The 25,668-nt window shown below is 53.3% G+C and overlaps 1 protein-coding gene across 15 annotated transcripts in view, besides 1 other annotated feature; it reads left to right on the plus strand.

Moving 5' to 3' along the window:
• Window positions 1-1,847: 1,847 nt before the first annotated feature.
• SEPTIN3 (septin 3) overlaps window positions 1,848-25,668 on the plus strand; it is a 28,779-nt gene continuing 4,958 nt past the window's right edge. For 2 of the 15 annotated variants that reach the window (NM_001389668.1, NM_001363845.2), the window contains exons 1-9: window positions 1,848-2,082; window positions 3,879-5,401; window positions 14,050-14,241; window positions 18,389-18,517; window positions 19,611-19,692; window positions 20,027-20,164; window positions 21,972-22,089; window positions 23,978-24,073; window positions 25,069-25,168. In NM_001389668.1, coding sequence (NP_001376597.1) covers window positions 3,898-5,401; window positions 14,050-14,241; window positions 18,389-18,517; window positions 19,611-19,692; window positions 20,027-20,164; window positions 21,972-22,089; window positions 23,978-24,073; window positions 25,069-25,168 — 2,359 coding nt within the window. In that variant the 5' untranslated portion in view covers window positions 1,848-2,082; window positions 3,879-3,897. Of the gene's footprint in view, window positions 2,083-3,878; window positions 5,402-8,913; window positions 8,989-9,182; window positions 9,480-14,049; window positions 14,242-18,388; window positions 18,518-19,610; window positions 19,693-20,026; window positions 20,165-21,971; window positions 22,090-23,977; window positions 24,074-25,068; window positions 25,169-25,668 lie in introns of those variants that run through there. The other 13 variants (NM_001389671.1, NM_001389670.1, NM_001389675.1 and 10 more) reach the window with 8 other exon arrangements.
• Window positions 9,204-9,273: a silencer, noted in NCBI's record as "silent region_13816". NCBI's record gives its function as "represses an Ori minimal core promoter by ATAC-STARR-seq in GM12878 lymphoblastoid cells {active_cell/tissue: GM12878}" and the evidence as "EXISTENCE:reporter gene assay evidence [ECO:0000049][PMID:35858748]".

Here is a 25,668-nt window from a genome sequence, read left to right on the forward strand (position 1 = left end):
GCTAGGCCCACACAATCACCATTCAATCATTCATTCATTCATTATTTCTTTCTAAAGAAATTTACCGGTTGGGCACGGTGGCTCATGCATGTAATCTCAGCACTTTGGGAGGCTGAGGCAGATGCATTACTTGAGGTCAGAAGTTTGAGACCAGCCTGGCCAACATGGTGAAACCCCGTCTCTACTAAAAATACAAAAATTAGCCAGGCGTGGTGGCACACACCTGTAATCCCAGCTACTTGGGAGGCTGAGGCAGGAGAATCCTGAGGCTTGAACCCGGGAGGCGGAGTTGCAGTGAGCTGAGATCCCGCCACTGCAGTCCAGCCTGGGTGACAGAGTGAGACTCTCAAGAAAAAGAAACTTACTGAAGCCAATTTTTGCCAGACCCTGGGGCCCAGAGAAGAAGATCCAGGACCTTCATAACTGAGCTTTCCACCCAGGCATGGTGGCTCACGACCGTAATCCCAGCACTTTGGGAGGTGGAGGTAGGAGTATTGCTTGAGCTCAGAAGTTCGAGACCAGCCTGAGCTACATAGGGAGACCCCCGTCTCTACAAAAAATAAAAACTTAGCTGGGCGTGGTGGTGCATGCCTGTGGTCCCAGCTACTCTGGAGGCAGAAGTGGGAGGATCACTTGTGCCCAAGAGGCTGCAGTGAGCCATGATGGCGCCACTGTCTTCCAGCCTGGGCGACAGAGTGAAACCCTGTTCAAAAAAACTAATAACAACAACAGCAACAACAAACGAAACAGAGCTGAGCTAATATGGTAGCCACAGATTAAAATAAACTAAAAAATCCAGTTCCTTGGTCACTGTAGACACATTTTAAGTGATCGGTAGCCATCTGTGGCTAGTGGCTACTGTACTGGACAGCACAGACATAGAACATTTCCATTATCACTGAAAGTTGTATTGCCCAGCGCAGCTCCAGAAGCTCACTCGCTAAAGAGAGAGACACACAGGAGAGCAGACCAGACAACACAGTGTTGTGTGGGCTGCAATGTCCTCCTCGGTAAAAAGCAGGTGATGAGGCGGAGATTAAAGGAGATGCCAGGAGAATGCTTAGCCTAGTTCCTGACTCAGGGTGAGTGCTCGGAGGACATCTGCCATCACCGTACAGGACAGTACTATAGGATCTGTTTACATACCTATCTTCCTAGCAGACTGTGAGCTCCGCCCAGCCCTGGCATGGTGCCGGGCACAGAGCAAGTGCTCAGGAAATAGTAGCTGTTATCAGCACCATTGTTATTATCACCACTGCTATGACAGAGGCAGCCGAGGGCTGTGGGAACACAGAAGAGGGCTCCCATCCCAGCCCCAGGGCCAGGGGCTGCTGAGAGTCGGCATTGCCAGAGCCAGGCTGGGTGGCTTTGTGGTCCCCTCAGGGGCAGGCCTAGGGCGGGGTCCTCTTCACACCCTTAGGGTCTGGGTACAGGGTCCAGCTGGAGCAAGCTGGGGCTCAGGGAATAGTTGTGGAAGGAGCTCTAGCCTCCAGGAACTCCAGCCCCCTTGAGGAAAGACCAGGTGAGTGGGCAAGATGGTCTGAGGGTTGCAGAGCTGAACAGGGCATGAAGGGCACAGAGGCAGAGCCAGAGGGAGACTCGCGCTGGGACTACCAGAGTGCAGCCATATTTGGAGTACCCCTGTTTTTACTGCAGACTCCCCAGGCATCAAAGTCTGTGGGAGACAGAGCAGATTTGGGGAGGGCAGGCTGCAGGGAACCTCCCTGCAGGTGGCCGTGAGTGCCAGCCTGGCCGTTACCAGCCTCCCATGGCTCTTCAGGATTCCAGAGGCTCAGAGCAGCCATTCACAGCCGCCCACTCCTAGGAAGCCAGCCCCTCCCTGCACCAGAGCCCAGCCCAGCACGGTCTCCGGGGATGTAGCTGGTGGGACAGTGAGCAGAGGGCTGGGCCCTGTGCCTGGGGACTGTGGCCTGGAGGCTGAGCAGGAGCTGAGGAGGGGACCAGAGGGACAAGGCCCCTAAGCTGGCCACCATGGCCAGACTCTGAGTGCAGGGGAGGTGAGGGGCCTGCGTGTGCCTTATCTTCCCAGACACACTGGATCCTTCTTGTCCTCTGATCAAGGTAGGTGTGTAGGGGGGTGGAAGGGTGTGGGGGTTTGTGGGGGTGGGAGGGTGGTGGGGGTGGGGTGGGGAAGGACCAAGCAATCCATGGAAGATGGGAGTGCAGTGAGGGGATGGGGAGTCGGGTGATGCCCTCGGACACCCTGTCCTCTGGCCTGCTCTGTGTGTGGGTGTGCACACTGAGGGGAGCTGTTTGTGGCTAAGTGCAGGGTAAACGTGTGTGCCCAAGTGGATGTGGCTGTGCAGGAGGGGGCAGAAGTTCAGGGCTGCAGTGATAGGCCAGGTGGGAAAGGGTTGGAGGCCAGGACAGTCTTGGATACAAATATATGGCTGGAGAGGGATGAGGGGCTGGGGGCACCATTGTGAGGGGTGATGCCTTCCCTGTCCGGTGCCCTGCCTTCCCCGTCCCTGCTGCAGACCTCAAGGACCTGGCTACATGATCACTCCCCTCCCCATGAGCCCTCTGGAACTGACTCCTCCCACCAGCCCTGGCCTTGTCCCCCAGCTGCAGGTCCCAGCCTGCTGTGTTAAAAGCAACCAAACCAACTTTTTTCTAGAGGGTGAGTTACTTGGAGTCCAGAGTAGCAGGGAGTGGCCCATCTACTAAGACCACAGCCAGAGTCCTGAGCTTCATCCTCGACACCTCTTTGTGCCCACTCCCTACCCTGGGCAGTCCCGCCACTTCTACCCCTGTGCAATGCAGCCTCCTCCAGCCCCAGCCCTAGCTCTGCCCCTTGCACAGCCCACGGAGCAGAGAGTTTCAACTATGTCCTCATGGGATCCTGGCTTCAATTCTGTTCCCATCTGATCCCTCTGTCACACTGCCCGAGTGGCCGTTCCCACCTACAGATCGGAATGGGTCACATTCCCTGGCCTAAACTTTGCTGTAGCCTGGCCTGGACCCCAGCTCACCTGCAGCCTTGGCTCTCCCCTCCCTGCTACATACAGCCTAGGAGCCCCATGTTGGATTTTCAGAAAGATGCCACACTTTCTCACCTTTGGGCCTTCTGTAGGAACAGCCCCAGCTCAGGTCTAGCCTCCCGCCTTTCTACCCCTAATGCTTAGCTTGGTGGAGCCCTGCCTACTTCCTTGCCTGGCATCCCTGGGCATGGCAGCCTCTTCAAGGGCGGGGACCATGGCTTGTTCACCAGATAAGCTCCTTCTGTGAACACTCACTGCCTCTCCATTTCCCATCCTCACCTTCTCCAGGGCTGGCTCTGTTTCTGACTCCAGCACTAGGCCAGCTCAGGGCTCTTTCTTGGTTCTGGGGCTCTAAGCCAAATTGGTCCTCTCTCATCCTGCCACCTGGACACCTGAGCTCCTATGTTGGCTGCTGTGGGTGGGAACCCACAGCCCTTTGGTTCTTTCTGGAAGAGAAAGGGAGAGACGTCTCCAGTAAGCACTGCCCTCCTCTGGAGTCCCTGAACATGTATGTGACCTCCATAGAGCTGTCCACAGAGACAGGGGCCACACTCAGGCCCAGGCAAAGGGAGACGTAAGCCCAGCCTGAGATGCCCCATGCTGGAGGCAGACTGCTCACTGGACGTGCCCACCCCACTGTGTGGTGGCTGGCCGGGGTGGGGTAGGTATGAGGTACAGATCAGTCTGCAGCAGGTAGGAGCCGTAGGAGGACAGGAGGAAGTTACATGCATCCTCCACTAAGGACTGGACAGTCCCCAGAACCAGGCCCCTTCAGACCCGGCATGCTCAGCTGCTGGTCAGGAAGGGGAGAGCTGAGACCTCCAGGCCTGAGCTCCTCACCCCTGCCTGGCCTCTTCTCTCTGTTGATTGCCTCAGGGAAAGACAAACGACCTGGATGGACCACAACTTTGCTCCTGCTCCTCCAGAGATGCAGTCGCATGGAGCTCCAGGCCCGGGAACCTCCTTCTCCCATAGCCATGTGCTGGGGCGCCCTATCCGCCCCTCGAGACTCCCTGGAGGAGGGTCCCCCCTCACCCCCGTCCTCAGGAAGACCATCCATCTGGATACCTTCCCCCAAAGCCATATCCCACAGACCTCCAGCCGGCTGGGCCTTGGAGCCAGGACCCGGAGTGTGCCCCCACAGGAGACGGGCATCGCTCTGGGGGCTTCCTTGAGCCCCCTGCCCACCAGCAGCCTTGTACCCAGGAAGCTCAGCTCCATCTCCTTGACTCTCCATCAGAACAGCCAGGCACGGTCCCTGGATCGCCCACTTTCTCACTGGGAAGAGTTGCCTACCCCAGGAAAGAAGGCTGCTCCCCATGAAGGAGGGAGGGTGTCCTCGCCAGGCTCGCCACCTGTGACCCTAGTGCCAGGGGGCAGGGTCCACTCTGAGGGCCCAGGGAACCCAGGTCTGACCAAATCCAACAGGATGCTTGCCACGGAGAAGCCCCTGGTGAGTTCCTACCTAGCCTTACCTTTCCAATCCCGGTTAGCCCAGAGTGCACCAGTCCTTGCAGAGCCAGGCTCGTTGGGCCAGGGGCACCTTGTCTCAGTGACTGACCACATGCCTACCAGAGCTTCTCCAGGAAAAGGCAAGCCCCGGGCCAGGGGGATCCCCAGACCCCGGGGGCGTCTCCAAAGGGCCAACACGACTGTGAATTTGACTGCTATGGACACAAGGACAGACGCAGCCAGACATTTAGCCACAATGGCCACCAACAGACCTAGCTTGGCTATCAATTTAGCCACACCAAACACATCCCAACTGGACACAGGCACAGAGTTCCCTGCCCTGGATATCAAGCTGGGCACAGCCAGAGACTTGTCTTCGGTAGGGACAGTCAAGTCAGGCAAAACCGTGAACTTGGCTACAGCAGGCACAATCAAGCCGGGCACAGCCATGAATCTGACTACAGTTGGGACAACCAAGCCAGGGATGGTCATGGATTTGATAGCCTCAGAACCAGACAAGCTGGGCAAAGCCATGGCTACAAGAAGCACAGCCAAACCAGATATGACCACAGAGGGTATAGCCATGGATTCAGCAACATCAGACCCAGTCAAGCCGGACACAATCACAGCTACAGTGGGCACCAGTAGGTTGGAAACAGCCATGGCTTTGGCCAGAGTGAACAGAGCCAAGCTGGGCACGGCTAAGAATTCTCTTGCTTTGGACACAAGCAGGATGGGCACAGCTGTGGGTTCAGTTGTGCCAGTAACCCCAGACCCAGCCACTGGGAAGACCACACTGGGCAGTGTTAATAACCTAACCATATCAGACGTTGCTACATGCCTGCTAATGCCAAGCAGATCCACAGACCTAGCCCTGGACAACACTAATGCTGCCATGGACAGAGCCACAGAGCCTGCCTCACTGGACCTGGCCACAGAATACAAAGGTAAATGCAGAAACTTGGTTGGGGATGGACTAGGCTGCCGGGAGGGGGAGGTGTGTGAGCTTGGAGATGGATCATGCTTGCATGGGTTGAGAAACGGAGGAAGGACTCTAAGGTCAGGGTTGAATGGGTTGGGAGAAAAGGAAATGGGGGTTGTAGGGCCAGACATAGGGACTGTACCCTGAGCTGGGTTCTAACCTGCCAGTCTGAGGTCAGGCTGAGGGAAACTATCAGAAAGAAGGTTTTGGCCAGGTGTGGTGGCTCATACCTGTAATCCCAGCACTCTGGGAGGCTGAGATGGGAGGATTGCTTGAGTGCAGGAGTTCAAGACCAGCCTGAGAAAAATGGTGAGACTGTCTCTACAAAAAATAAAAAATAAGGGGCTGGGCACGGTGGCTCACGCCTGTAATCCCAGCACTTTGGGATCTGCCCAAGGCGGGCAGATCACAAGGTCAGGAGATCGAGACCATCCTGGCTAACACGGTGAAACCCCGTCTCTACTAAAAGTACAAAAAAAAAAAAAAAAAAAATTAGCCGGACGTGGTGGCGGGTGCCTGTAGTTCCAGCTACTTGGGAGGCTGAGGCAGGAGAATGGCGTGAACCCGGGAGGTGGAGCTTGCAATGAGCCGAGATCATGCCACTGCACTCCAGCCTGGGCGACAGAGCGAGACTCCGTCTCAAAAAAATAAAAAAATAAAAAATAAGGGTTGGGCACAGTGGCGCACACCTGTAATCCCAACATTTTGGGAGGCCAAGGCGGGTGGATCACTTGCGGTCAGGAGTTCAAGACTAGCCTGGCCAACATGGTGATACCCCGTCTCTACTAAAAATACAAAAGTTAGCCAGGTGTGGTGGCACATGCCTGTAGTCCCAGCTACTTGGGAGGCTGAGGCACGAGAAGCACTTGAACCTGGGAGGCAGAGGCTGCAGTGAGCCAAGATCGTGCCACTGCACTCCAGCCTGGTGACAGAGTAAGACTCTGTCTCAAAAAATAAAATAAGATAAAATAAAATAAAAAATTAGCAGGGCATGGTGGCATGCATCTGTGGTCCCAGCTACTGGGGAGGCTGAGGTGGGAGAATTGCTTGAGCCCAGGAGGTCGAGGCTGCAGTGAACCATGATTGTGCGACAGAGCAAGACCCTGTCTCAAAAAAAAAAAAAAAGAAAAGAAAAAGAAAGGTTAACAGGGGTAACTTGTGGAGGAGCAATTATGGTGAGTCCTCCTTTCAGCATCTCCCGGGATTGTTTGTTTCCTGAAGACCTGGAATAATCAGGTGATCAATAGGTGTGTCCACCTTTAAAAGCAGTGGCTCACACCTGTAATCCCAGCACTCTGGGAGGCTAAGGCGGGTGGATCACGAGGTGAGTTGTTCAAGACTAGCCTGGCCAGGCCAGGCGTGGTGGCTCACACCTATAATCCCAGAACTTTGGGAGGCCGAGACAGGTGGATCACGAGGTCAGGAGATCAAGACCATCCTGGCTAACAAGGTGAAACCCCGTCTCTACTAAAAATACAAACATTAGCCGGGTGTGGTGGTGGGTGCCTGTAGTCCCAGCTACTTGGGAGGCTGAGGCAGGAGAATGGCGTGAACCCAGGAGGCAGAGCTTGCAGTGAGCCGAGATTGCGCCACTGCAATCCAGCCTGGGTGACAGAGTGAGACTCCGTCTCAAAAAAAAAAAAAAAGAAAAAAAACTAGCCTGGCCAACATGATGAAACCCCGTCTCTACTAAAAAATACAAAAAATTAGCCAGGTGTGTAGGCTGAGACAGAGAATTGCTTGAACCCGGGAGGCGGAGGTTGCAGTGAGCTGAGATTGCGTCACTGCACTCCAGCCTGAGCGACAGAGCGAGACTCTGTCTCAAAAAGAAAAAAAAAAAAAAAAAAAAAAAAAAAAGCAAGCCTCCTACCTCCTACGTGAAAATACTGACTAGCGCTTTAGGAAGTTGTGATTTGTCTAATAGGTAGTCTCTGCAGCCTCCTCTGGATGTGAGATAATGACCTCACTCGAGACTTTCCAAATCCATTTACGCTCAGCCTTTTAGGAAGGTATCTGTTGCTTAAAAGTTGTCTTACCTGAATGTCTCTTTCTTGGTCCCCCACCCCCAGCCCTTTAATCCTGAAAGGTAAGTTGGAGCCTTGTATATATGGAAGTCCTACACAGAACTCTAAAATAGGGCAACACAAGGGCTGGACATTCATTTGGTCTTAGAAAGCCTGTGACATGCCTAAAGTCACACCAAAGCTGGCTGGTGGCAGTAAGCTGATTGGAATCCAGATTGTTAAAATCTCTACTTTGGGCAGCCTCATTCCCAACATTTCAAGGGCTCAGAGTTTTTGGGTCTGGAAAGGTGCCTAGAAGGCATCCAGTCTAATGCCTTAATTGAGTCGTTAGATTGTCAGACCCCTTTCCCTCCACCCCACACACTCAGTCTGGGCACCTCACCTAAATTCTGGTCTTCACTTCTCCCTACGAGATCTCAGCTCTCCCTCCATCTGCAGCCCAGCCCTGTCTCCTGAAGTGCAGATGTGGGCAGCCAGCAGCCTGCTAGGCTTATCTACCCGGATGTCTCCCGGGCATGTCCAGAGGTAGCCCTTTTCTTCTTGAACTGACTCCTGCCTCCCTGATCTCACTCTCTCAGCTGTAGGCATTGCCTACCTTTTATTAGGTGCCTAGAAACCCGGGTATCCTCTTCTTCCTCATCTCTCTCTTGCCATCTCATCCAGTCTACTTCCCACCTTGTTGGTTTACCTCCTCAGTACTCAACTATCTGGCTGGCTGTCCCCTCCTCTCCATCCTTCTGCCCCTGTGAGGCCACCTCCCACCCACCAGCTTGTTCCCTGTCCACACACAACTGCTGCAACGACTCCCACATTGAATGGCAGCACTTTCGGCTTAATATTCGTCAGTGACTCACCATTACCTTCCATTAAAATCCAGCTTCCAAGGCTGCGTGCGGACTTCTCCAGCCTCTTATTTAGCTCTACACACCTGTCTGGAATTTTCTCTGCTTCAGCGACACCAAGGACTCTGGGCTGTCCACCAGCACCACGCAGCTCTCACCTCTGGAGACCCTCACCTCTGCTGTCCTCTCTTTGCAGAATACCTCTCCCTTTCCATTCTTCCCTTCCACTCCCATTTGCCTTTCCATCTGGCCCTCATCTCCTCCAAGAAGTCTTCCAAGCCCCCTCTCCCCAGGGTGCCCACCTGCCTGCACCCTCAGTTCCCTGTGTGCACCCCGGCCCCTGCATTAGGACATTCCATCTTCCTGTCTCCTCCACTAGACCCAGAACCTTCGAGGGGAGGGATGGTTGTCCTCACCCCTGTGAGGCAATATGCTGTCCATTAGTATCCACTGAATGCGTGAAATTTTTTTCTAATGGGCAAACTGAGGCTCAGAGAAGTTCCTGTCTGGCTCAAGGTTATTGGTTCATCATTCTGGAGCAGGGCCTGGAACCCGGGCCCCTGACTCGGCTCTACAGGCACCCGCGCAACACCCCAGCCCCCGCGTGACTCACGCGCGCTCACGGCCGCCCGCAGCTGCCACTGGTCCCCTGCGCCCCTCCGCCCGTCCCCGCCGCAGCCCAGTGGGTAAGGGGCGGGGAGCAGGTCCAGCGGGGAGAGACGGGACTGGGATGCAGGCACCTTTCCGGGCCTGGCACCTGGAGCCCGCGGGGGCGGCTCCTGGACCGCCCGCAGCGTGGACCCGGGACCAGTTCCCGCTTGCGGGCGCGGGCGCCGCGGGAAGGGGAGGGGCCCTCGGCGGGGCCGACGGGCGCGCGGTCACGTGGTGCGGGTGGCAGCGGCGGCGGCTGGCGGCGGCGGCAACGGTGCGCGCGGACAGGGGCGGCGCGGCGCCGAGCGAGCCGAGGCGAGGTCCCGGGGAGGGCGCGGCGGCGCGGGGCGCAGGGGCGGCGCGGCGGGGCCGCGGGCCGGGCGGGTGGGAGGAGAGCGCGAAGGGGCGAGGCCCGTTTGCAGGGGCCGCTCGGCCCGGGGAAGCCCGCGCCCCGCTCAGCCTTGCAGCCCCGCGCCCGGAGCATCTCCCTGGAGGAACGGAGACAAAGGAGGATTCATGTCCAAAGGTAGGGCGGCCGGCCAGGCCACCGGCACCCGCCAGGAGGAGGCTGCGGCCCCGGCCAGCGCGGCTGGAGGCGCTCCTGGGGGAGGGTTTCCGCGCCGAGGAGCCCACGCGCGGTGACAGATGCGCGGACACACGCACACACGGTGGCACCCACCTCGAGAGAGACAATCTTGGAGAGAGGCAGACATAGGACGCGGGGAGACGCAGGGACCCACGGACACGCAAGCAGGGACCCAGATGCGCACAGAAAGCCCCATGCTGGAGTACACCAAGACACGCACACACACACACACCACGCACAGGTGCCAGGGCCATGCCAGCCGGATGAGAGACCTGTGCACTGATACATACGTCCCCTCCCCCGCAACCCCTACAGGCACACGCTGAGACAGGCACCAGCTGGTGGTCTCCAAGGGAACCCGTTGGCCTCCAGAGGACTGGGATGGGGGAACGGGTGTCCCAGGGCCCTCTGCTCCTGCGAATGGGAAAGGACCGAGAGAGCTTTCGTGATTCCTTTTCCCAGAGCCTAGGGCTGGAACTGGGGTGGGCTGGAATTGCCTTTGTGGGGGGCGGTGGGGTCCTGAAGGCTGCGGGGGGCTGAGGAAGATCCATCTTCAGGGTGGAAGGAAGAGGGGGGGCCTGCACTAAGCAGGTGCTATTTTGGAAAAGTACCCTCCCCCAGCTGCTACCTTCCTAACACAGGGGTGGGGTCCCTGGGCCAGACAAAGCCAAAGCCATTCATTTGCCTGTAAAAGGAAGTGCCAGGGTCTTTGCTTAGCATGGGAATGGAGGGGCTGTTTCTTGGCTGCAACCGAGTCAGGTGGATGGTGCCTCTCCCTGGAGCACTGATGGGGCAGGTAGCTTCTGGCAGAGGGTGCTGCAGGCAGATCCCCCTTCTCCAGGGGCCCTAGGAGAGCCAGGAGCTGAGGGGGGCCCCAAGGACCATCTAGCCAGGATGGCAGACTTGAGCTGCACCCTGCTGTGACCCGAGCTCTTCCCCACCCTTGGGGAGCCCCCCTCCAATCCTTGTTGCAGAGGAAGGAGGAGGTCTCAACAATTCTACTCCCTTGACTGTGGCGGAGACAACAGCCATTGCTCACTGGGGGGTCAGCTGCTCTGCATGGGGAGAAGCATCTGAGGGAAGAGAAAGGTGATGTGTCTGATACCTGCCTCACTCTGAAGTTCTCATTCACTCATCATTCATTCATTCACTTATTGAGGAGTGCCTGTGGTATGCTGGGTAGACTGGGGCACAGAGATCAATAAGACACGGCCCCGCCCTAAAGAAGGGTGAGAACTAGTACGTATTTGTGCCAGATAATTTACATTCTTCATTCTGTATAACCTTCATAGAAACCCAGCAAGGTAGGTTCTATCCCCAGTTGTCTGAGCAGAAAATGAGGCTCATAAGGGTCACCCAGCCAGGATTCAAGCCTGGGTCACCTGCCCATCTGACGTTGACATGGTGGGACCAGGGGAGTTGTAGGGACAGAGGATGGAACTACAGAATCCAGCTCCAGAGCAGCATTGGTTCTGTGCCCCAGAGGTCTTTGTTTATTTGTCAGGCACCCTTACCAGACAGGGGGCCCTCAAGGGCAACAACCTTGTCTGGGGTACATAAGTGTCCTTGGAATTTCGCCTAGGGCTTGGCTGGTGTAGACCCCCATTTGACAGCATATGAAATGGCCTAGATGGGATGGAATGAATGAATGAGTGAATGTGATGAGTACCAGAAAATGTGCAGTGGGCACAGAAGAGGGCCATCCACATCAGAAGGCAAAGCAGAGGCTTTCCTGGGAGTAGCAGTGGGGCTGAATGCTGGAGGAGGAGGAGGAGGAGGAGGAGGAGGAGGAGGAGGGAGCCAGGGGTTGGAGGGGGAACAGGATCTTCCAGCAAAGCTTGTGGCACAGTGACCTGCACACATTTACTGTACTTGGGGCTGGTGGGTGGCTTGTTAGCATGTGACTGGCATGTCACTGGCATGTGGTGGGGAGGCTGACTTGCCAGCAGGCGCTGTGTACAGTGCACACAGTGGGTGCTCATATGTGCTTGTTGGAGGAATGAAAGTGAGATCTACCAGGTCCTGGTCCTGTAGTGGGCCTGTGGTAGCCCCTAGATGCTGCTTGGGGATCTGGTAGGACCCTCTCTCCATCAGGGTCTATCTTTTGGGCGTGCTCTTTTAGGATGCTGCAGTTGACAGGCCAGGGCGGAGCAGGCCATGGTGAGAGCACACACTTTATAGGAATCTTTACACAACCTCTCATAAGTAAATACAAGGCATACTTTCCAAGTCTGTAAAATGGGGATAAGACCACCCCCCCAAACCATGTGGCTCTATCTTATAACACAGGTTGAGACCAAATGGGCTCAGCTGCAGAGGCATAAGGGGCAATGGAAAGGCCCAGCTTGTGTGAGCAGCTGGGCAGGAAAAATGGGGCATTGGTCCCAGTGCAGGTGTGCTGAGTGGGGCCTGTGAGCCACGTGCAAGAGTGGAGGAGCAGGGCCAGGCTGCTGAGAGTCAGCTGCTGCAGGGCTGGGCCAATCTTGCTGCCATGCGGAGCTGCCTGGCTGGGAACAGCTTCCTGGGAAGCAAGAGAGAGCCATGCCAGGCCCTGGGGAGGTCCTGAGGCTTTGGCAGATTTGGCTGTGCCTGGGAGTGACAGAAGAAAGAACAGTTTCCCATTGGGAGAGAGGGTCTTACCAGTACCGGTGGAAGGACCAGGTGGAGGGAGATGAGAGTAGGCTCCTGGCTGGGTTTAGGGGTGGGAAGGGAATACTTCTGTCCCCTCTCCCTCCCGCCCATCTGCTGCTCCATCAGGCCTCCCTGTAAGGTTGAGACTCTGCAGGGTGTTAGTCATGAAACATAGGATTCTAGAACGGCAGAGCTGGAAGGTGTCCTCAAGAGCACATGGAGTCCAACAACCATGCTTGTGTAACTGGCATCTGGGGACACCTTCCTTTAACCAATGCTTTCACATGTACTGTTTCATTTCCCCTACAGACCTGAAAGGGGCTGGGGCAAAAGGGTCTGGGACTGTAAGATATTGCTCAGTGCCTTTTTTTTTTTTTTTTTTTTTTTTTTGGAGACAGAGTTTGACTCTTTTGCTCAGGCTAGAGTGCAGTGGCACGATCTCGGCTCACTGCAACTCCGCCTTCCGATTTCAAGCAATTCTCCTGCCTCAGCCTCCTGAGTAGCTAGGATTACAGGCGCCTGCCACCATGCCTGGCTAATTTTTGTATTTTTAATAGAGACAGGGTTTCACTATGTTGATCAGGCTGGTCTCGAACTCCTGACCTCATGATCCGCCTGCCTTGGCCTCCCAAAGTGCTGGGATTACAGGCGTGAGCCACCGCGCCCGGCCATTGCTCAGTGCTTCTAAGCATCATGTCTCATGAAAGCTCACCACAGTCTTAGTGATGATCTTTCCATTTTATAGAGAGGGATGCAGGCTCATAGTGGGGAGGTGGTCTTCCCAAGTCCACAAAGCTGAGAAGTAGCAGAGCCAGGCTCTTTCCACTTCACCCCATACCCCAATTGTATGGATGGGGAAATGGAGGTGCTCTATTCTGGAACCTGCCCTGGTGGACAGTGGCCTGATAAGGAAACCCACAGATTTCTCCTGTGTATGAACACACCCATGATCCACTAAACCCAGGGGGACGTTTGCCCTTCCTCACTAGGGAGGGGCTGGTTCCTCAGCCTTCTCTTTCATCTGCTATCCACCACTCCAAGAGCACACTGTGTCGTCTTAGGCAAGTGACTGCCCTCATCTGGTTCTCATCCCCTCCCCACTGGTTCCACAGATTCAGAACAATGGCTGGGAGGGTGTCTGGGCTCCTTCAGGTACAGACACCCCTACTCTGCAGTGGTGCTCATGGTACAGAGGGGACATCGAGGCTGGGAGACGAGAGTGATAGCCACTCTCCAGAGAAGGGTAGCCCTGTTTGCTTCTAAAAGATGAAGCAGCCGAGGTCAGTGACAGTTAATAGATGTTAGTGCAGGATCCTAAAAAGTCTTTGCCCTTTATTCGGGGAGGGAGGCATGACTCAGGTCTGAACAACCCCAGACATTTCTTAGACCAGTGGTTCTCAGCCAGGGCAATGGTGCTTCCCAGGGGACATTTGGTACCATCTAGAGACATTTTGGGTTGTCACAGCCTGGGGGGCTACTAAGATCAGGGGTGCCACTAATCATCCTGTAATGCATGTGACAGCCTCCCACAATAATTACTCAAATGTCATTAGTGCCAAGATGGAGCAGCCCCTGGGTTAGATGCACAGATGTGGGCTTCAGAGCAGTGAGGTGCATTTGAAAGTGCCCAGCAACCAGAGAACCTGGCACTGGCCCAGATTTTACCTCTGACCTGCTCTGTGTTCTTAGTTGAGTTCTTTCTCCTCCAGGCCTCAGTCTCTTTGTCTATGAAATGAGGGACCTGGACTGGATGATACTAAGATCCCTTCCAGGCCCAACTTTGTATGATTCTGTAGCAAGAGAAAAATACCATGGTTTCCATGTGACCTCTGCCGTCCTCCTGATCACCCCTCCGACCCCTCCCACCTTGGCTCTGCAGGGCTCCCAGAGACCAGGACGGACGCAGCCATGTCAGAGCTGGTGCCTGAGCCCAGGCCTAAGCCAGCGGTGCCCATGAAGCCCATGAGCATCAACTCCAACCTGCTGGGCTACATCGGCATCGACACCATCATCGAGCAGATGCGCAAGAAGACCATGAAGACCGGTTTCGACTTCAACATCATGGTCGTTGGTACGGAAGGCTGTGGGGCTGCTGCAGGCCTGGTGGCGGGCAGCACCAAGGATCCCATTTCTTTCCCCCAAATGGCTGTGACCCTGGCTCTTCTAAGATGAGCTGTTTGTAGAAGGGAGAATTTCACCATGCTGATCACAAAGGCCTGACCCCTGTCTCCCCTTAAGACTAGCTGACCCAGGGGTAGGAGCTTCAGGTGGATGCCAGCCCAGCCCCCCATCACCAGCTCGGTGTACACAGGCAGCCCCTTCACCACTCTGATCCTGCTTTTGGGTTTGTGACATGAGAGAATCAGCAATGTTCTTCCTTACCTCTGAGAGCTGGTGGAAGGATTGGATGAAGGGTGGTCTTATTTCTACTCTTTTGTAGTGCTTTAAAACTTTGAGAGAAGGCCGGGTGTGGTGGCTCACACCTGTAATCCCAGCACTTTGGGAGGCTGAGGTGGGCAGATCACCTGAGGTCGGGAGTTTGAGACCAGCCTGACCAACATGGAGAAACCCCATCTCTGCTAAAAATACAAAATCAGCCAGGTGTGATGGCGCATGCCTGTAATCGCAGCTACTCGGGAGGCTGAAGCAGGAGAATCGCTCGAACCCGGGAGGTGGAGGTTGCAGTGAGCTGAGATCACGCCATTGCACTCCAGCCTGGGCAACAAGAGTGAAACTCCGCCTCAAAACAAAAAACAAAAAACAAAAAAGATTTTGAGAGAATTTCCAGGGATTTGGTCACTGAGTAGCATCACTGCGTCACAGAATGTAAGAGTAGGAAGGGGCTGGGCATGGTGGCTCACGCCTGTAATCCCAGCACTTTGGGAGGCCGAGGTGGGTGGATCACCTGAGGACAGGAGTTTGAGACTAGCCTGACCAACATGGTGAAACCCTGTCTCTATTAAAAATACAAAAAAATTAGCTGGGCATGATGGCACATGCTTGTAATCCCAGCTACTCTGGAGGCTGAGGCAGGAGAATCACTTGAACCTGGGAGGTGGAGGTTGCAGTGAGCTGAGACTGCACCATTGGACCCCAGCCTGGGCAACAAGAGTGAAACTCCATCTCAAAAAAAAAAGAAGAAAAAAAAAAGAGTAGGAAGGGACCTTTGCCCCGTCTCAGTGAGATGTCCAGTCAGTGCTGAAAAAGGAATCTGGCGTCATCCTTCTGTCCTCTTCCTCCTTCATCCCCCAATCAGTCATCCAGTCCTGTCCATTTTACCTCATACGTATCTCTTACGTCTGCCCACTTCTCTCCTCTCTCTTGCTGCCACCCTATACTGACTTTCTCTCACCTGGCTTGCCGTGGCCACCTGACTCTGTGCTGTCAAAGTGCTGACCTGCAGCAAGATAAGCTCAGCTGGGGCTTGGGCCAGAGTATAAATCATCTGGAAAATCTTGCTATAAAAAACCTCCACTGAGCTAAACAGTGTGCTCAGTGACAAGGTAGATTTCTCTCCTGAGGCAGACTTCTTATCTCAAGAACCAGTAGCAAATGGGTCAGGGACCCTGGTAGCTGGGCCCCTATGGGCCACACTCGGAGTGGCACCAACCCTCCTAGCTCTCTGTCTCCTTTCCTCTCCAATCCCTTGTCCACCAGTGACCAAATAATCTTCCCACCTTGCAAAACTTATCGAGTCACCCAACTTACTTAAAACTCTGTAACAAACTCTCCTTTAACCTCAGGGTAAGTTTAAACTCGTAGACTGTCCTGATTGTACCTCTTCAGCTCATCTCTGACCACTTCCCATCTAGCATTGTACTCCTCACTCAGAAGAGGCAGTGCTCGTCCACATGCCATGCTCTCTCCTACCCTAGAGCTTTTGCATCTGCTGTTCCCTCTGGCTAGAACTCATGACTCTTTTGAAATCAACCTTCCGGTTTCAGCTTAGTTGCATTTCTCCAGAAGTCTTCCTTAGTCCCAGAGAGACTGGGTTGGATTCCCTTGGCAATGCTGTTTCAATACCCTGTGGCTATTCTCTTTCACAGTGGTTATTGCAACATACTATAATTGTCTGCTTATGTTTTGGTCACTCTCACACTAAGCAGCTCCTTGAGGGTAAGGATCATGTTTTGTTCACGATAGTACCTCCAAATTTTAGGACAACACTTGGCACCTAAGAATAATTAATGAATGAATGCTCTTAGAAAACATCTCAGAGCAAGCATGGCAAATCCAACACCCGTGAGCCACTTCTCTCCCCAGTGGTGTGCATGGCAGACTGCTAGTCAGTCATGGCACGTGTTCAGTGCTGAGCCCAGATGTAGCCTTTTTAACATAATGGTCTAGGTGACTACTACCAGATAATCAGCAGGAATGAGAAATGCACCTTATTTACCATCCCTGGTCTTGTCCAATTTCCTCTCTCCTCACCATCCTATCAGTAAAGAAACCAAGGCATGACTAATCCAAAGGCATTCAGGGAAAACAATGCAGGTGGGTCTGGAACTCTAGGCCCTTGTCCCCCAGCATGGTTCTTTTTCTAATATAATCACAAGAATTCACCAGCCCAGTATTTCTTAGATCTTATTGTCCATAGGACTCTTCTGGAAGCCCAGTTAAAATGCAGATTCAGAATCATAGGTCTGGGGTGGGGCCTGAGATTCTGCATTTCCTACTAGTGTCCGGGCAATGCCGAGGCTGCTTGTCAATTGCAAGTCTTTCTTGTGGGATTCTTGTACGTGTTGAAGTTTGAGAAGCTCTGCTCAGACCAGTGGGTTTGTTTCTTTTGAGACAGAGTCTCGCTGTGTTGCCCAGGCTGGAGTACAGTTGCGTGATCCCGGCTCACTACAGCCTCTGCCTCCTGGGTTCAAACGATCCGCAGCCTCCTGAGTAGCTAGGACTACAGGCATGTGCCACCATGCCCGGCTAATTTTTGTATTTTTAGTGGAGACAGGGTTTCACCATGTTGGCCAGGCTGGTCTCGAACTCCTGGCCTCAAGTGATCTGCCCGCCTTGGCCTTCCAAAGTGCTGGGATTACAGGCATGAGCCACTGCACCTGGCCTGACCAGTGGTTTTCCCTTTTTTTTTTTTTTTTTTTTTTTTTGAGACGGAGTCTCGCTCTGTCGCCCAGGCTGGAGCGCAGTGGCGCGATCTCAGCTCACTGCAAGCTCTGCCTCCCAGGTTCATGCCATTCTCCTGCCTCAGCCTCCTGAGTAGCTGGGACTACAGGCGCCTGCCACCACGCCGGGCTAATTTTTTGTATTTTTTTTAGAAGAGACGGTGTTTCACCGTGTTAGCCAGGATGGACTCGATCTCCTCCTGACCTCATGATCCGCCTGTCTCGGCCTCCCAAAGTGCTGGGATTACAGGTGTGAGCCACGGCAAACGGCCTGACCAGTGGTTTTCAAATGTTCTTTAGCTGTGAAACTTTTCCTTGAAATGAAATCTTCTGCAGATATGCATCTGGAAAACAGGTGAAAGGGAGCCATAGCGAAGGAAGTGGATGCAGGGGCCCTGCCTGCCCAGCCTCCTCCTCCTCTCACAGTGCCCTCTCTGGCATGTATCTTCACAGGACACTAAGGCTTCTGGGAGCACAATCTAAAAACCACTACACTAGAAGAAAGAGTGGATATAGAGCCAAGATGTTATTAGGGTTTGAGTTCCTGGTCTTGCATGTATTAGTTATGTTGCTCTGCACATATTTTGTTAGAAGAGGATTCATCTCTCTAGGACCATCTCAACTGAGGATAAAGATAGTTCTGCTTCAGGATCCACAGGGCTGATATAAAAATGAATTTGGCTAACAAATGTGAATGTACAATATGCACTGTGAGGCAGTATCAGGATGCAAAGTCATTCTATTTTTCCTTTTAGTATCATTAAAAAGTGAAAACCTAAGCAAAAAATGGAATCACGAGAAAACAGAAAACCACGACACTAGACATATGCAGAGGTTGTCCCTTTTCCCAGTGGTCCTGTGGCTCTGGGAAGGAGAGAATATGGAATCCAAGTGATGTTTCCCCAAGGCCCTCTGCAGTAAGCAGGAAGCCATTCCCACCTGCCTGCAATCCCCACTCAGCCTGGCCATCCCCCAGTGAGTGGTCAGACAAGGTGTGGCCTGGATCATGGCTCTAGAATTCTGTAAGCTTATGGAGAAATATTAGGCTCAGGAGGTGGATGCAGAGTCTCCCTACCTCCTCCTCCTGCTTTGCTGTAGGCCAGAGTGGACTGGGCAAATCAACGCTGGTCAACACGCTCTTCAAATCCCAAGTGAGCCGCAAGGCCTCCAGCTGGAACCGGGAGGAGAAGATCCCCAAGACAGTGGAGATCAAAGCTATCGGGCATGGTGAGGACCAGGCAGGGACCCCTATGGGCTTTGTTCAGTGAGTGCCTCTGCTGGAAAGGGGAAAGAATGGGGCTTATTGAAGAATAAGATCAATAAAAGGCAACCTTAAGACAAAACAGACGTGAGCACTTCACTCTGAAGCAAACTCCTTAGACTGCAGGTTCAGGGAAGAGAGAGCAGGGAGCTCGAATGGAAGGAGGTGAGATTTGAGGTGGATGATAAAGTACAGGATTTAGACAGGTAGAAAGAGGTAAGGAGTGGGCAGGTACGGTGGCTCATGCCTGTAATCCCAGCACTTCGGGAGGCCAAAGTGGGAGGATCGCTTGAGTCATGGAGTTCGAGACCATCTTGGTCAACACAGTGAAACCCTGTCTCTTTTTTTGTTTGTTTGTTGTTTGTTTTTTTGAGACGGAGTCTTGCTTTGTCGCCCAGGCTGGAGTGCAGTGGTGCGATCTCGGCTCACTGCAAGCTCCACCTCCCGGGTTCACGCCATTCTCCTGCCTCAGCCTCCTGAGTAGCTGGGACTACAGGCACCCGCCACCACGCCCGGCTAATTTTTTTTGTATTTTTAGTAGAGATGGGGTTTCACTGTGTTAGCCAGGATGGTCTTGATCTCCTGAGCTCGTGATCCGCCTGCCTTGGCCTCCCAAACTGCTGGGATAACAGGCGTGAGCAACCACGCCCGGCCCGAAACCCTGTCTCTTAAAAAAAAAATTAGCTGGGTATGATGGTGCATATCTGTAGTCCTAGCTATTGGGGAGGCTGAGGCGACAGCATCACTTGAGCTGGGGAGTTCGAGGCTACAGTGAGCTGTGATTGCACCACTGCACTCTAGCCTGGGTGACAGAGTGAGACCCTGTCTCTTAAAAAAAATAAAAGAAGAAGAAAAAGAAATGAGTAGAGAGGGTATTCCAGATTCCAGGTACAGGGAACAGCATAAGCCATGATATCGAGATGGAAAAGACCCTAAATTTGACTTTTCCAATAACTGATCCTGAAGACAAGGCCTGGGTCTCCCTGGCTAGTAGGCTGCCAGGTACCTGGGGTCAGCTGTAGGACTGACCTCTCTGGTACATTTTCTTTTCACCCCCAGTGATAGAGGAAGGCGGTGTCAAAATGAAGCTGACCGTCATCGACACCCCAGGCTTTGGAGACCAAATCAACAATGAAAACTGGTATCTGTCTGCCTCTGAGATCTTTGCCCTAAAGACTCTGCTGGGAAGATACTTACTATGGTGCAGATTCATTCACGTTGAGAACCATCTGCACCCTCCATGCTCTGTAGTTCCCGACAGCCCAGGCCAGGGCCCCTGGGGAGCTCCACCCCTGCTAACTAACCATCCAGGAAAGCCATCGGTGCGGGGGCTGAGGGGGAATCTGGCAGCAGGTATCCTAGGCCCACCAACCAGGGAATGACATGAATGTAAGGAGATTGCTACCAGATCATGCCTAAGCTGAGCCCTAGGTCTTGTTCTTCTGATGCATCTATCTACTTTCCCTCCCCATCAGCTGGGAGCCCATTGAGAAGTACATCAATGAGCAGTACGAGAAGTTCCTGAAGGAGGAGGTCAACATCGCCAGGAAGAAACGCATCCCTGACACTCGTGTCCACTGCTGCCTTTACTTCATCTCTCCCACAGGACACTCGTATGTACCAACCCTACCCCTATTGTCAGGCCTGGTCTGGTTTGTATCATCTGTGCCCATCTGGATTGGATGATCCATACGTTGACTCAGCTAGGCCTCCCTAGCTGAGTCCTAGCCCTTCCAGCCAGATGGGTTGGTACATAGTCATGGCCCATGACCTTGGGATTCCCTAGACTTTCCACGAGGAAGTTTGACTTTCTTGCTAGGAGGTTAAAGCTGTCCAACATCAGCCACCAATATCTGCCCACTGGTGTCCCAGCAGCATGGCACAACTGTATCAGCAAAGAGGACTTGGTGAATGTGAGCAGAGGGCACTTCATTTATTCACCAAATACCTGCTTTGGAAAATAATTGGAGTCGGAGGGAGCAGCAAGAAGGGTGAAATAGGGCAGTGCAGGGCTCCTGGATTGGGGCTGGTGTTTGGAGGGTAGGGACCCAGTTGTAGGCATTTAGAAGGTACCAGCCTGGAGTGAGGCATTGTGTGTTCAGAGATGAAGGCCAACCATTGTCATGAAGTACTATCTGATAGGCAGAATAAGACACACACAAGCATGTTGGGAACTCTGATTGTGAGTGACAGGTGGGCCCCATGAAGGAAGTGCTGGGAACAGGCAGAGGATGGAGATCCTAGGGGGCAGGCCAGAAACCTTCCTGCAGAGACCGGGGGAGGGGGGTCCCATAACATTACTAAGCCCAGCTGCTGGGCCAGAGTTAAGCTCTTCAGAGGATGGCACAAGCAAGGTAAGCCCCAAATTTTCTAGGAACCAGGCAGTGATGGTAGGGGGAGAAGAGAGATGAAACAAGACCCCTGGGCTAGACCCAGGAACTCAACAGAAGGCTGGTTTTATCCCTCCCTAGGCTTCGACCCCCTGGTCAGAATGAACCATCAGACAGACTGACTTAGTGAGTCCCTGAGATTGCAAAATAGAGCCAAGTTGGGGTCTCAGAGCCTGAGGTAGGATGGGGGCATAGACTGTCAGATTGTGGGAAGGGCAAGGCCTCCAGTTTGGCCCTGCAGGACTAACTCTGGGGGCTAGGAGGAGACCTGTCAAGAAGTAGTCTGATAGGCAGAACAAGATGTACACACTAGGCACGGTGGCTCTCGCCTATAATCCCAGCACTTTGGGAAGCCGAGGCAGGAAGATTGCTTGAGTCCAGGAGTTCAAGACCAGCGTGGGCAACATGGCAAGACATTGTCTCTACACAAAATTTAAAAATTAGCCAGACATGGTAGTGCGCAACTGTGGTCCCAGCTCCTCTGGAGGCTGAGGTGGGAGGATTGCTTGAGCCCTGGAGGTCAAGGCTGCAGTGAGCCAATGACCATATCACTGCACTCCAGCCTGGGTGACAAAGTGAGACCCTGTCTCAAAAAAAAAAAAAAAAAAAAAGACACACACAGTGTTGTTTTTTTTTGGTTGTTGTTGTTTGTTTTTTGTTTTTGAGACAGACAAAAAAGGAAAAAAGACACACACGCACAAGGACATATGAGTAGAGACAGTAGTCCACAGATGCTCCCAGGAGAAAGAAATCCCTGAGTCAGAAAAGATGTCCTGAAGTGGTGGTTTGAGGGGGGCTTAAAGAGAGGCAGAATCTGCAAGGGGACTGAAAAAGAAAAAGGCAGGTGTTGAGGCTGCTCTACAGACGGCAAGGCAGTGGGGCTGTGTCGGAGACGAGAGGTAGCAGCCTCTTGGCCTCAGCCAGATGCCCAGCCCAGTCCTCTTCTCCTGTGGGTGTCCTGGAGTGGTGGTGGTGGCTGAGTTGGGGAGGGCAAGGTGGCTCTGATGATTCTGCCTTTTCTGTGCCCCAGCTTGCGACCTCTGGATCTTGAGTTCATGAAACACCTCAGCAAGGTTGTGAACATCATCCCTGTCATTGCTAAGGCTGACACCATGACCCTGGAGGAGAAGTCTGAATTCAAGCAAAGGGTGAGAAGGCCCCCTGTCTTCTTTTCCTGTTCCCATCCCCTCCTTTCTCTCCGCTGGGTTCAGGCCATCTCCTAGCCCTCATCATTCTGCCTTCACCCCCACCCTCAACCCTCCCCCAATTCTCCACCCCAGCCCCCTTCTTAACCATTCAAGAGGCTGAGGTTGGTGGTATCTGGGGACTATGATGAAGAAAAGATGGCACAGCTCTGGGCTGCCTTCTTCCCACCCTCCAAACCTACCTGTGAAGACCACTGAATACATGTATCACTGTGTACATAAGAAATCACTCCTCCAACGTTAGCCTAATTGAAGGGCTAGACTAATTAGTGAGTCAACTGGCCACTAGTCCTCACTGGCATCTTCTCTTTGTTTTTTTTTTGGAGTCTCTCTCTGTCGCCCAGGCTGGAGTGCAGTGGCGTGATCTCGGCTCACTGCAAGCTCCGCCTTACGGGTTCACGCCATTCTCCTGCCTCAGCCTCCTGAGTAGCTAGGACTACAGGCACCCACCACCACGCCTGGCTAATTTTGTTTTTCTCTTTTTAGTAGAGATGGGGTTTCACTGTGTTAGCCAGGATGGTCTCGGCTAGTCTTGATCTCCTGACCTCGTGATCTGCCCGCCTCGGCCTCCCAAAGTGCTGGGATTACAGGCGTGAGCCACCGTGCCCAGCCCTCACTGGCATGTTCTATAAGCTCAGCCCTGTGCTGGATGTACAGGGTTGGGGAGGGGCGATTTGAGAGAAATGAAAAGACAATTGCTGCCTTTAAGAAATTTACAATCCAGTTGGGCGTGGTGGCTCATGCCTGTAATCCCAGCACTTTGGGAGGCAGAGGCGGGTGAATCACGAAGTCAGGAGATCAAGACCATCCTGGCTAACACGGTGAAACCCCGTCTCTACTAAAAATACAAAAAAATTAGCCGGGTGTGGTGGCGGGTGCCTGTAGTCCCAGCTACTCAGGAGGCTGAGGCAGGAGAATGGCATGAACCCGAGAGGCGGCGCTTGCAGTGAGCTGAGATCGTGCTACTGTACTCCAGCCTGGGCGACAAAGTGACACTCTATCTCAAAAAAAAAAAAAAAAAAAAAAAGAAACTTACAATTGGCTGGGGGCGGTGGCTCACGCCTGTAATCCCAGCACTTTGGGAGGCCAAGGCGGGTGGATCACCTAAGGTCAGGAGTTCGAGACCAGCCTGGCCAACATGGTGAAACCCCATTTCTACTAAAAATACAAAAATTAGCTGGGCGTGGTGGCATATGCCTGTAAGCCCAGCTACTAGGGAGGCTGAGGCAGGAGAATCACTGGAACCCGGGAGGTGGAGGTTGTAGTGAGCCAAGATCGCACCACGGTACTCCAGCCTGGGCAACAGAGCAAGACTCGGTCTCAAACAAACAAACAAACAACAAACAAACAAAACTTATAATCAAATAGAAAATGAAGAGGTCCTGGATGGTTTCCTGGAGAAGGCAAGACTTAAGTCGACCTTGAAAGAGGGCAAACAGTCTCGGAGTAGGGGGAGCCTCACCTTTCTTCCTTCCAATCAGGAATATAACATGCAGGGGTCTGAGCACTCCCCAGTGGGCTCACCTGTGCTGCTTGTGTAAATCCCAGTCTCGCGGACCCTGAGATGAGCAAGCTGGTTGCGAGGCGCCTGGGACCTGAAGTTGCACCTCCTGGCCTCTTCCTCCTCTCAGGCTAGGTTGTAATTGTATAGCTGGGGCTTGCATTTATTCACCATCTTCCTGCTGCTCAGGGTCTCAGAGTTCAGAGATGACTGTGGATTATCCAAGGCTGGATTTGGCTCTCTGACCTCAGCTCACGCACACAGGTGCACACACCCCTCTTTTCCATTACCCTGACACTTGACTACCTTGTTTCTTCTCCTCGCCTCTAGGTTCGCAAGGAGCTTGAAGTAAATGGCATTGAATTCTACCCCCAGAAGGAATTTGATGAGGATTTGGAGGATAAGACGGAGAATGACAAAATCAGGGTGGGTGCCTGGGGCACTGCTCCTCCACTGATGCCCCCTTGCGACCTCTGGGATGTGTATTGTGCACGTCCTCTGTCTGTCTTTTCCCTTTCTGTACTCCCCCCAACCTTGCCTGACCCAGACCAGAAGTGACATAGGGGGATGGGGAGGACTATGGCCCTGGACTGTGAACCCACAGAAGGGCTCCCTGTACCCAGAAAGCCTTCTATCCCCAGACCACATAAAAGCCTCCTTTTCCCCAACAAGGTCTGGCAAAAACAGTATTTGGGGTGATGGGAGGGGCAGCAGGCAGGAAGAGCATCAGGCTGGGGTCCAGGAGGATCTATGCTGTGGTCAGACCCTGCCTTAGTTTCCCCTCTATGAAATGCAGGGGTTAGACTGAGTGGCTTATAGGCTTCCCCCGCTAGAATAACTTAAAAAAATTAAATTGGCTGGGCGTGGTGACTCATGCCTGTATCCCAGCACTTTGGGAGGCCTAGGTGGGAGAATCGCTTGAGCCCAGGAGTTCACGACCAGCCTGGGCAACATGGCAAAAACTTATCTCTACAAAACCTGCAAAAATTAGCCAGGCATGGTGGCGCATGCCTGTAATCCCAGCTACTCGGGAGGCTGAGGCAGGAGAATTGCTTGAAGCCAGGAGGTGGAGGTTGCAGTGAGTTGAAATTGTGCCATTGCACTCCAGCCTGGGCAACAAGAGCGAACTCTGTCTCAAAAAAGAAAGTACAAAGCGCTCTGCAGCTGAAGGAGAGCTGATTCCTGAGGTTAACCAGTGAGGCAGTGGTACAATTGGGACTAGACCCAGGACTCTTCAATCTCAGTCGGGTGCTCTTTTCAAGAGACTGAGCCTTGCCCTTGCCATCAGTAGTATCTCTGAATGAGCATCAGAAGTGTGTGGTTCAAGGCTAGAGGACCATATGCCATCCTGCTCCTGAAAGTCCAGGTTGTTGGAGGATGACGGTGCACATGTGTCTGGTTTGTGTTTCTGCCCCGTGCAGCAGGAGAGCATGCCTTTTGCTGTGGTGGGAAGTGACAAGGAGTACCAAGTGAATGGCAAGAGGGTCCTCGGCCGAAAAACTCCATGGGGGATCATCGAAGGTAATTCACTGCATCTTCTGGAAGAACTGGTTGCTGATCAGTTATCCAGTCACCATTTATTAAGCATCTATAGGTCAAGGCACTGTCTCAGGACATATGAAATGAATGCCAGCCAGATTCTGCCCATAAGGAGCTTACAGTCTCATTGAGAAGACGATGCTCACAGGCAGGAGTAACAAGAGACTGATTTAGCACCTGACTGGGTGGCACTGACTTAGCGCATCAAAGGAGTTCAGAACATGGAGAGATTAGTAAGGCCTGGAAAAACTGGAGAAAGGTTTTCATAGGAAGGGGGATGTGATCTGACAAACTGCCGGAGGGTTGTTCAGGTGTTGCCATTTCCATTTTATTATGAATGGATGTGACCCTGGGCGGGTCTTGATGATTCTGAAAGTGGTCAAAGAATCACTTTAATGATTTCATTCAATATGATAACCCTATGAAGGGAGGAGAGCGGGTGCTCCTGTTCTCAGAGTATAAGCTACCAAAGCACCGGAAGC

The sequence above is a fragment of the Homo sapiens genome, chromosome 22 (assembly GCF_000001405.40).
Source record: "Homo sapiens chromosome 22, GRCh38.p14 Primary Assembly".
Lineage (NCBI taxonomy): Eukaryota > Metazoa > Chordata > Mammalia > Primates > Hominidae > Homo > Homo sapiens.